The 12,393-nt window shown below is 31.1% G+C and overlaps 1 protein-coding gene across 13 annotated transcripts in view; it reads left to right on the top strand.

Annotated features, from left to right (window-relative positions):
* PCDH11X (protocadherin 11 X-linked) overlaps positions 1-12,393 on the top strand; it is an 843,856-nt gene that overhangs the window by 683,168 nt on the left and 148,295 nt on the right. For 9 of the 13 annotated variants that reach the window (XM_011530911.3, NM_032968.5, XM_011530910.1 and 6 more), the window contains one exon: positions 5,757-5,780. The exons of the other annotated variants lie outside the window; for them this stretch is intronic. In XM_011530911.3, coding sequence (XP_011529213.1) covers positions 5,757-5,780 — 24 coding nt within the window. The remainder of the gene's footprint in view (positions 1-5,756; positions 5,781-12,393) is intronic. 13 annotated transcript variants of the gene reach the window in all.

Here is a 12,393-nt window from a genome sequence, read left to right on the forward strand (position 1 = left end):
AGAAATACTGATTTCTTAGTATTTTCTTTGCCAAACTGAAGAAAATAATGGATCCAGCCCTCAAAATTTTGCTTTGGGAATTTCTCATCGTCATTAAAATTTGTATATTATCATAACTGCTTCATGTACCTCCCAAAGCAGTGTAACCAGTGCCTTAGTAGGAACTTTCAATGGACCATGAAACAATTTTTATTCCCACATTTATTTTTGAGAAAAGTTGAGTCCTCCATAATTCATATTTCTTGAGTTCTTTCTGGGAGTCAGCAAAATCTTTAAAAAGATTCTTTAAAAAAAGAATTTGTTATCTTAAATATCCAAACTAACTGAGAAGGATTTTAAATTGACATTTGTGTTGTTAGGATAGTTTGACAATGTAATTAGTGAAGTCAGATGGCCTGGAGAAAACCAAATGAAAAAATAATGTGATCATATATAAATTTTTCTGTAAGATGTCCAGTTCTGTATATCTCAGAATTATTCTTTTAATTTTAGCTACCAAAAGGAGTTATTATGATTGGCTAGATTCTCTTTATATAGCCATGAACAATTTAAAATATTAAGGCTAGATTTTGAGGTGGAAATTTTTGCCTTATATTTTTAGCAAAAAGGAACAATTATATTCTATTTCTCTTAAGGACTAAGTTAAATTGCTAATTAGTATTTTTCAATAGGCATTATCATTTTGTTGGATCTGCCAAAGCAAGATTTTATTTCTTAAAATATGATTTTCTCTTATTCTGCCCTTGTCAGTTGATGTGAACATGAGGGGGTAAATTGCATTTAGTATTCATCTAAATTGGAATTTTCCAAATGTATAATCTAAAAGCACTGATCTGTTGATACTCCCTGCAATAAAAGTTTTCCTTGAGCAAATAGTTTTGGATATATGTATTGTTTTCATATCTTGGAAATGATCTGTAAATGGTGGCATTTAATAGTATGTGAGTTCCTTGGTAATGAAAACATGAATTCTAATTCTACTTATGTCTCTAACTTGTTGTGTTAGTCTTAGATCTAAGTCATTTTATTTCTCTTGATGTCATTCTTCATGTGTATATTGAGGATGCTGAATCGGATGACTGTCTAAGGGCTCTGGTCCTTGACTTCTCTAATCGTTTTATTCTAGATAAAATTTAAGTTGTAACTCTGTGCTCTTTGAAGCGCGTAAACACTGTCAACATAAAAAAATGAGACTTGAAGGTGGTATCCATTACAGCCTTTGCAAAGATTTCCCTTGAATAAAAGGGCAGAAAATAGAGCCAATAGCTTGTGGACTAGGAAGATTTTGTGAAGAATAGGAAAAATGAGTTAATTTCAGAAATGGAAAAAAAAGTACAACTCTAGGCTATGAAAGAAAATAAGCCATCTGGTATTATGGCACTGCATGAGTTCAGTCAAGCAAAATTCTGTTAATGTAGAAAATGGTAATTGCATATTTTGTGAAAATGTTTCGATTCCTAAGGTTTTAGTTACCTCTATAATAAAGGCAACATTATGACTTTCGCTGTTGTCAATTTTCAAATTTATATTTCTTTGATCCAGTAGTAACCTAATTTTTATTGAAACTCAAGGCACAGAGGAATATGGATAGAAACTTTAATATACAGGGATACATAATTAATTTTATATTTGCAACACTTATTTCACTGCAAATAAGATGCTCATTATGTTAATCACATTGCAGCTTCTCTGTTTGTAGCTCATATGGTTTGGCTGTGTCCCCACCCAAATCTGATCTTGAATTATAGTCCCCATAATCCCCACATGTCACAGGAGGGACCTGGTAGGAGGTAATTGAATCATGGGGACAGTTACCCCCATACTGTTCTTATGATAACGAGTGAGTTCTCAAGAGATCTGATGGTTTTATAAGGGGCTTTTCCCCCTTTGCTTGACACTTCTCCTTCCTCCTGCCATGTGAAGAAGTGTGTGTTTGCTTTTCCTTCCACCATGATGGTAAGTTTCATGGGGCCTTTCCAGCTCTGTGGAACAGTGAGTCAATTAAACCTCTTTCCTTTATAAATTACCCAGTCTTGGGCAGTTCTTTATAGCAGCATGAGAACAAACTAATACAGTAGCCTTAACCTTACACACAATTTGAATAGAAAATTTGATTCGAGCTTCACTATTTTTGTAGTTCAGACTCTATGCAATCTACACAAGTACAAAACTGCTACAGTATATTAGTTTTGCACTCAATAGGAGATTCACTGGGGTGATTTGAATTATACATCAAGAAGAATTGAATCTTTTTTGCATATTTTGTAGAATTTTTTAAAATTAGCATTATTCAAAGAGGTATTGGTTTATTAATTTGACACCACAGTCTTCCGTACACTGATTTCATTTTTTTCATGCTGATTCTGCCATATCCTGTGACCTGCAGTATAAACTACTGTGTGGCTTTGCATAAGAAAATGAGAAACTTGTTCTCAAAAGTTAGCCTGTATCACGGTTGCATATGCTAGTCCATGCTATAGGTGGCATAGGCCTGTAGTCCTAGCTGAGATGGGATGACTGCTAGAGCCCAGGAATTTGGGGTTGTACTGAGCTATGATCTTTCCACTGCACTCCTGCCTGGGCTACAGAGTGAGAACATGTCTCTTAAAGAAACAAAAAAAGCCCATAAGAATAGGATAAACATTAGTTTTCAGGTGAATTGAATCTTGACTGATCAGATTTTATTTGTATTAGGAACTATAATAAACATTGTAATTCACTGAATTAAGGAGGAGATATATGCATATGCATAGTGATACTTACATGCAATATTATATTTCAATTGACTCTAGTAGTAAAGATATCTGATTATTTCTAAACAAATGTCTTTGAAAATGTTTTCACTTCTTATTTATTCCAAGAAATAACACTTTTATTTTAAAATGGCTTCATTAATGCAGCTTTATTACATGACTTTAAAATTTATGCATAATAAAACTGCAACTGTTACTTCTTTATTGAAGTAAATGGCAATTATAGAATGATGCATGGTACTTGATCAACAAAGGTTACGCCAACACTGTGAATTTTATGGTGAGTTCTATTGACCTATAAGCTCTTCAAACATCATCTAGTTATTTGGAATTCTCATTTACTTTTAGCCAGATATTTCTAGCTCATATTTAGTACTTAAAATTTGTTTTAGGAATATAAAGGAGATATTAAAATATGTGTGTATGCGATAATGTAGCATGTTTTGGTATTGTTCTCATGATAAATTTTAGTAATATTTATGAAACTCAAAGAGGAGATTTTTTTTCTTTAAAATGTATGTTTTCTTAATTTTGTGGTAAAAGAAGCCTAGTTATTTCTATTGTTTTAGTTTACTAATTAAAATATTTGCTAGTCATTAATTCAGAAAATAATGTTAAAAACTCAATTATACTCAAAGTAAGAATTTATGCAAACATAATTTTTTATTATTATTGAATTTGTGTAAGTAAAAATAATGATGCCTAAACTATCGTTTTTAAATTTATTAACAAATAAATTTAATCACAGAATATTTAATAGCCTAAAAACAATCTTCTTGTTAAAAACACACTTAACGTGTGAGATATGTTCATCTTCCATATTAGACAAATTATGTTTTAAGTTACACATTAGTCATATTATATACCTCGTCATTCATAATATAAAATTCGGTTGGATTATTTATTTTAAAAATTAGTTTCAGTCATAATGATTCACATAGACTATAGTATTTCAGATGACAAGGACTATGCTGACCTGTTTACCACAAACATCTTGGGCAGTGTTGATGCTTTAAAAATGTCAATGATAAACCTTTAAACCTTAATTAAAAATTACTCTGAGATTTAGAGATACATTTCAAGATGGGCCTTTAGCTTACACAAAAAAGTCCTAATAATTATAATGAATGCATTTCTTAGTGGTTGTTAGTATATAAGATATATATAGATATATATATATACTCCCTTACAGTGGGAAAATGGTTCCTTTTCTGGACCATTTCTCATGTGATGAATTCGAGAAATTCTTCACATTCAGTCTTAAAAGTTTTAAGCCAAATATGCTTATTGTTCTGAATTTTAAGGAAAATTAATCAATATTTGACTTTGGTGGTTTATAAACCAATTTTCACTTTTCAATTTGGGAACTAAAAGTCTTGAATAAGTTGTTAAAATGTGTTTGTTTTCTTTTTTATTGTTGTCACGTCCCTCGTTTTGCTTCTTTTATTTGTACCTTCCATACTATTAGAAATAAGTCCAGACCCATTACATTACTTATTTTTTTGACCTTTTTAGTTACCAAATTAGAAAGGATTTTTATCACTAAGCTCTAGACAACACTGAAATTGCAGTCTTTAAAAATGAAAAGCACGTACGTTATTACTTTTCTGTTTAAAGCAGTCTTTCTCTTTTTAGAGTTTTGTATATTTGAAAACTCTACACTTAAATATTACGAGTTGATTATGAATTCTAATTAATACAAAATTAGAGTGATTCTGTGTGTATGTGTGTTTGTGTGTTTCTTATCATTGAAGTAGAATCCTCATTTAAAGGGTGGGGAATTGCAAAATTCTATGTAGAAGATCAATCCTCCCCAAAGTGTTTTATGAAAGCACTATTTTAAAAAAATTTTATACTTCAGCTTGTATTACCATTAAATTACATTGCATACAGATGAAACACCTTGCAATGAGAAATAAATGTGCTGTTTGTCAGTGACACTTAAAAGTGTTGTACAATGCTCTTTTATTGATCCTTATTAGTGCATAGAAACATTACTTTCACCTCTATTTTTCTATTCTGCTTTATTCCATCTAAGAATTTCATGTCTTCAGTTTTGTAATATTCTAATTTTATTCAAAATAGATTTTTAACAAATTCAAAATGTTTATCTTTAAGCTTTTATCCATAATGGATATTATTAAATAATTCCTAAAATGCAGATGTGATCAGGAAATTATTTATTAATATTGGCTTTAAAATTTTGTAATGAATAAACTTGAGAGTCATCTGCCCAGATCAATACATATTTGGCTGTTTATAAACATACAATTATTTTGTTTAAAAATAGACTTTGCTACTTGTTCCAGGTCAAGCATGATTTCACAGTGTTTTGAAGAAAGTCAATAATGCAAGGCTTGAATTTATCTAGAAAATAATGACAATAATCTCTAATCCCTTATGTCCTAATTGTGAGAAATAATATAAAATTTTAGGTGAAGACAATGGTATTATAGAAAAAGTTTCTTAAACCATGATAAGAATAATTCTACTGGGCCATTCTCATGCTAGTGCCTGCTGATTTTGGGTTTTTCCTATTACTATTTTATATGTCAGAAGTTTGGAGACAGAGCAACCTGTTAAGTCAAAAACAATGTCTTTTCTTGCTCTACACTTATAGTAGGAGGTTGCATGAAAGAAACTGGTATGTCAGTAGAGGACTGTACTTAGCCATCACAGGCGACGAAGCTAGAAAATCTACTGAGTTACTGCAAAACGTTACGTTTAATAACACATTTCCTTTGTGGAAAGCACCAATCATTACTTCCCAGGAAGCCAACATATTGCATAGGCTTGGTCCAATTCTATAAAAATGTATTACAAAATACAAATGCGAAGGAGCAGCAGTCCTAGTGTGTCTCAATTATCACATTCTTTGTAAAGTGAAGTAGAAAATATATTGCAATACCTTACAAATTATATTTATTTAGGTATGCTAATATAATGTTGTAGAAATAAGAGAAAATATTTATTGTGTTTAACTTTATTAAAATTTCTTTTTAGCTTTCATACCTGGACTAAAGAAAGGTACAGTAGAAATCAACACAAACCATCACCATGTTGCATGTTTCATTTTAAAATGCAGTGCTGATTTGTGTTTAAGAACTGTTTACCTTTTTGCTTCTCATAAAACATCAACTGTTTGCTTCAAACACATTTTTGATACATTTAAAATATCTGAAATCTAGGAAGGGCATTCAGTCAGTTGGATATCTTATATATCTGAATGCTTTTTCTAAATTGTGTGTCATCAATCTTTAGATAATAAAATAAATGTGACTCTATAGTTATTTATTTGGCTTAAAGTAGTTGCTTTCAAATTACCTATGAATTTATTATTCATTTCTCTCCTCTGATAGTATAAGCATTTTCAGTATTTTGTTTGAGCAGCCATTAAAGATATAATTATATTTTTCTGTATTCTATTCCAATTTGATCTATAAATTGTATATGTTTTCTAAATTACTAACAAAGTTTACATTGTTTATGAATTTGTAAATAATATGTAATATGCATTTTCTTTGCCAAATTATAACACATGGATTACATGGGAACCTATGATAAGTTAAGGTTGACAGACAAAATATTTCTAAAAACATGGAGTTTAAGCAATCAGTTGAAAAATATATATATTTTTTGTGCTGATAAAATTTTAAAATGCTGCAGGATATATTGAATGTTCCAAATATATTTGCACTCATTGTGCATATGCACACATTTCTTTGTTGTCCACTTTATATTTGGTGATGTTTCTGTCCTATTGTTCCACTGTTCTTTATAACAATAATTTATTTCACTCATACACTTTTATCTTAAACTGTAATGTATAATACATTGATGTTTTGATGAAATAGAAAGAGCACTTAAAGAAAAAATTTTCCTGAAATCCGTCATAAACCTGAATTGTTATGTAAGGAAGAAACTTACCTTTAATCTTTAATTTTGACATATTAGCAATATTAACAACATACTTTATCAATTTTTGGTATTTTAAATGTAAAATGTTGCTTTTGACTTTTTACACTGTGTTGGGGTAGTTCTTCTGTTCTTCTATAATCAGTTCTAATGTCCATGATACATTTCTGCCTATCATCTGAATAATGAAATGTGATCTCATTTCTCCATCTTTGCTTTGGTTGCCTGTGCCTGTTGGGTAATGCTCAAAGAGTTTTTGCACACTCAGATTTCCTGAGGAGTTTCCCCAAAGTGTTCTAGTAATTTCATAGTTTGAAGTCTTAGAGTTAAGTCTTTAATATGCATTGATTTGATTTTTTTGTGTATGGCAAGAGATAGCGGTCTAGTTTCATTCTTCTGCATATGGATATCCAGTTTTCAGTTTTCCAGGAAGTATTGATTGAAGAAACTGTCCTTTCCCTAATGTATATTCTTGGAACATTTGTTGAAAATGAGTTTACTGTAGATGTATGAATTTATTTCTGGGTTTTCTATTCTGTTCCGTTGGCCTATATGTCTGTTTTTATGCCAGTACAATACTATTTTGGTTAGTATAGCTCTGTAGTATAATTTGACATCAGGTAATGTGATTTCTCCAGTGTAGTTTTTTTTTGCTTAGGATAGCTTTGGCTATTCTGCGTATTTTGTGGTTCCATATAAGTTTTAGAATTTTTTTTTCAATTAATGTGAAGAATGTCGTGATTATTTTACAGGGGTTTGCATTGAATCTGTAGATTACTTTGGGAGTATGAATATCTTAACAATATTTATTTTTCCACATACATGTAATATCTTTTCATTTTTTGTGTCTTCAATTTCTTTCATCAAAGTTTTATAGTGTTCATTGTAGAGAATTTCCCTTCCTTGATTAATTTATCATATTTTATTTGTAGCTATTGTAAATGGGATAAATTTCTTGATTCCTTAATGTTGGCACATAAACATGTTACTGGTTTTTGTATGTTGATTTTGGATATGAAATCAATATTCATCAGTGATATTGGCCTGTTTTCTTTTTCTGATATGTTGTTGGATTTTGGATACGAAATCAACATACAAAATTACTAAATTTGTTTATCAGTTCTAATCATTTTCTTGTGGACTCTTTAGGTTTTTCTAAATATAATATCATATCATTAACAAACAAGAACAATTTTACTTCTTCCATTTCAACTTGGATGCCCTTTATTTCTTTCTCTTGTCTGATTGCTCTAGCTAGGACTTCCAGTACTATGTTGAATGACACTGGTGACAGTGGTCCTCCTTATCATGTTCCAGATCTTAGAGAAAACACTTTTCGTTTTTTCCCCATTCAGTATGATACTAGCTGTAGGTCTGTTGTATACGCCCTTTATTATATTGAGGTATGTTCATCCTATAACCAATTCTTAGAGAATTTTTTTAAATGAAGGAATGTTGAATTTATCAAGTAATTTTTCAGCATCAATTGAAATAATCATATGATTTTTGTCTTTTATTCTGTTGATATGATGAATCACATAGATTGATTTGCATACATTGAGCCATCTTTGCATCTCTAGGTTAAATCCCACTTGGTCATGATGAATGATGTTTTCAATGTGTTGTTGAATTCAGTTTGCTAATATTTTGTTGAAGATTTTTGCATCAATATTCATCAGTGATATTGGCCTGTTTTCTTTTTCTGATATGTTGTTGGTTTTGGTATCAGGGTAATATTAGCCTCATAGAATAAGTTTTGTAGTGTTCCCTCCTTCTCTATTTTCTAGAATAGTTTGAATAGAATTGGTATTAGTTCTTTCTTAAATATTCGTTAGAAGTCAGCAGTGAAACCCTCTGGTCCTCAGCTATTTTTCTGCTGGAAGATATATTTTTTCTTTTTTTTTTTTTAACTTTTAAGTTCAGGGGTACAAGTGTAGGTTTGTTACATAGGTAAACTTGTGTCATGGGGATTTGTTGCACAGTTTGTTTCATCAACCAGGTTTTAAGCCTAGCACCCATTAGTTGTTTTTCCTGATCCTCTCTCTCCTCCCACCCTCCATCCTCCAAGAGACCCCAGTGTGTGTTGTTCTCCTCTATGTGCCCATGTGTTCTCATAATTTATCTCTCATTAATAAGTGAGAAAATGTGGTATTTGGTTTTCTGGCCCTGTGTTATTTTGGTAAAAATAATGGCCTTAGGCTCAATTCATGTTCCTGCAAAAGACATAATCTTGTTCTTTTTTATGGCTGCATAGTATTCCATGGTGTATATGTACCACATATTCTTTACCCAGTCTGTAATTGATTGACATTTAGGTTGATATCATATCTTTGCTATTGTGAGTAGTGCTGCAGTGAACATATGCATGCGTGTGTCTTTATAATAGAATGATTTATATTCCTTTGGATATATTCCCAGTAATGGGATTGCTGGGTCAAATGTTATTTCTGTCTTTAGGTCTTTGAGTAATTGCCACACTGTCTTCCACAGTGGCTGAAATAATTTACGCTCTCACCACCGGTGGATAAGTTTTCCTGTTTCTCTACAACCTCACCAGGATTTCTTACTATTTGACTTTTTTGTAGCCTTTCTGACTGGTGTGAGATAGTATCTCATTGTGGATTTGATTTGCATTTCTCTAACAATCAATGTTGTTGAGCTCTTTTCATATGATTGTTGACCACATGTATGTCTTCTTTTGAAAAGTGTCTGCTCATGTATTTTGTCACTTTTTAATGGAGTTGTTTTTTTTCTTTGTAATTTTTTTTAAGTTCATTATAGATGCTGGATATTAGACCTTTGTCAGATACAGAGTTTGCAAAAATTTTCTGTCATTCCATAGATTGTTTACTCTGTTGATAGTTTATTTTTGCTATGAAGCAGCCGTTTCATTTACTTAGATCTCATTCGTCAGTTTTTGCTTCTGTTGCAATTGCTTTTGGAATTTTTTTTATGAAACTTTTGCCAGCGCCTGTATCCGGAATGATACTGCCTAGGTTATCTTCCAGGAATTTTATAGTTTTGGGTTTTATGTTTAAGTCTTTAATCCATCTTGAGTTTATTTTTGTATATAGTGTAAGGAAGGGGTCCAGTTTCAATCTTCTGCATATGCCAGTTATGTCAACACCATTTATTGAATAGAAAATCCTTTCTTCAGAGCTTTTTTTTTTTTTTTTTTTTTGGTCAGGTTTGTCAAAAATCAGAGAGTTGTAGGTGTGTGGTCTTATTTCTGGGTTCTCTGTTCTATTCCATTTGCCTATGTGTCTGTTCCTGTACCAGTGCCATGCCATTCTGGTTACTATAATCCTGTAGTATAGTATAGTTTGAAGTCAGGTAGCATGGTACCTCTGCCTTTGTTCATTTTGTTTAGGATTACCTTGGCTATTAGGGCTATTTTTGGTACCATATAAATTTTTAAATATTTTTTTAAAAATTTATTTCTGTAAAGAATGTCATTGATAATTTAATAGGAATAGCATTGAATGTATACATTGTTTTAGGCAGGATGACCATTTTAATGATATTGATTATTTCTATCCATGAGCATAAAATGTTTTTCCATTTGTTTGTGTCATCTCTGATTTCTCTGAGCCATGGCTTGTAGTTCTCCTTGTAGAGATTTTTCACCTCCCTGGTTAGCTGTATTCCAAGGTATTTTATTCTTTTTGTGGCAAATGTGAATAGGCATCTGTTTGTGGCTCTCAGCTTAACTGTTGTTGATGTATAGGAATGCCAGCACTTTTTGCACATTGATTTTGTGTCCTGAGACTTTGGTGAAGTTGTTTAACAGCTTCAGAAGCTTCGGGGCTGAAAAAATGTGTTTTTTGTTTGTTTTTTTTTTTAGATATAGGGTCATGTCATCTGCAAACAGAGATAGTTTGACTTCCTCTCTGCTGGAAGATATTTATTATGGCTTTGAGCTCATTATTTGTTATGGATATGTTCAGGTTTTGGATTTCTTAATGGTTTAAACTTGATAGGCTATATGTGTCTAGGATTTGTCAATTTCTTCTGGCTTTTTCCATTTATTGGCATATAGTTGCTAATAATGGCCATTAATCATCTTTTGAATTCCTGTGGTATCAGTTGTAATGTCTCCTTTTACATCTCTGGTTTTATTCAGGTCTTCTCTCTTTTCTCTTAGTCTGGCTAAAGGCTTGTCAATTTTGTTTAAATTTAACAAAACAACCTTTTTATTTCATTGATCTTTTGTATTGATTTCTTTGTTTTGATTTCATTGATTTATCTTCTATTATTATTCTTTTTCTTCTACTAATATTGGATTTTGTTTGCTCTTGCTTTTCCTGTTGTTTAAGATGCGTCGTTAGGTTGTTTACTTGAAGTTTTTCTCATTTTTTAGTGTAGGCACTTACAGCTATAAACTTCCCTGTAAGTACTGCTATTGCTATATCCCATAGGGCTCAGTATGTTGTGTGTCCATTATAATTTGTTTCAAGAATTTTTTCAAATTTCTTTTTAATTTCTGCATTAACATACTGATCATTCAGCAGCATATTGTTTAATTTCTATGTGAGTGTATGGTTTCCAAAATTCCTCTTGTAATTAATTTCTAGTTTTAGTCCATTGTGGTGAGAGAAGGTGCTTGATAATTTTTGACTTTTTTGAATGTTTTAAGAATTGTTTTTTGAACTAACATATGACCTTTCCTTGAGAATGATCTATTTGCTGAGGAGAAAAATGTGTATTCTGCAGCAGATGGGTGAAATTTTCTGTAACTATTAGGATTTTTTGTTCTATAGTGAGGATTAAGTTCAATTTTTTTTGCTGTTGCTGTTGTTGTTGATTTTCTGTCTGAAAGGTCCAATGCTGAAAGTGTGGCGTTTAAGTCTCCACCTATTACTGTATTGGGGCCTATCTCTATCTGTGGCTCAATAATATTTGCTATATATATCTGAGTGCTGTAGTATTGAGCACATATATATTTACAATTGTTATATCCTTTTCCTGAATTGACCCATTTATCATTATATAATGACTTTCTTTGTCTCATAGTTTTTATATTGAAATATAATTTGTCTGATATAAGTCTAGCTACTACCACTCTTTTTTAGTTTTTATTGGCATGGAATATCTTTTACCATCTGTTTATTTGCAATGTATGAGTGCCTTTAAATGTGAAGTATGTTTCTTGTAGGCAATAGATTATATAGTTTTTTTAATCCATTAATCCACTCTATGCCTTTTGATTGGAGAATTTAGTTGTTTTTACATTAAATGTTATTATTAACAAATAAGGGCTTATTCTTGCCATATTGTTATTTGTTTTCTGTTCATTTTGTGGCCTTCTCTTCCTTCTTTCCTTCCTTTTTTCTTCTTTTAGTTAAGATGATTTTCTCTGGTGATACAATTTAGTTTTTTTTTTAAATTTTTTGTCAGTCAGTTATCTGTTTTTTGATTTAAGGTTACCATGAAACTTGCAAATACTATCTTATAACCCATTATTTTAAGCTAATAATAATTTAACACTGTATAAACAAACAAACATAAAAATGTAGAGAAAACTCATAAACACTCTACATTTTATTACCCTACTTTTTAATCTTTTGTTGTTTTTATTGATATATTGTTATACTGTCTAGGTCTTGAAAAGTTGTAGTTATTATTTTTTATTGGTTCCTGTTTTAATATTTCTACTTATGATAAGAATAGTTTGGCCGGGCGCGGTGGCTCACGCCTGTAATCCCAGCACTTTGGGAGGCCGAGG

This window comes from Homo sapiens, chromosome X (assembly GCF_000001405.40).
Source record: "Homo sapiens chromosome X, GRCh38.p14 Primary Assembly".
Lineage (NCBI taxonomy): Eukaryota > Metazoa > Chordata > Mammalia > Primates > Hominidae > Homo > Homo sapiens.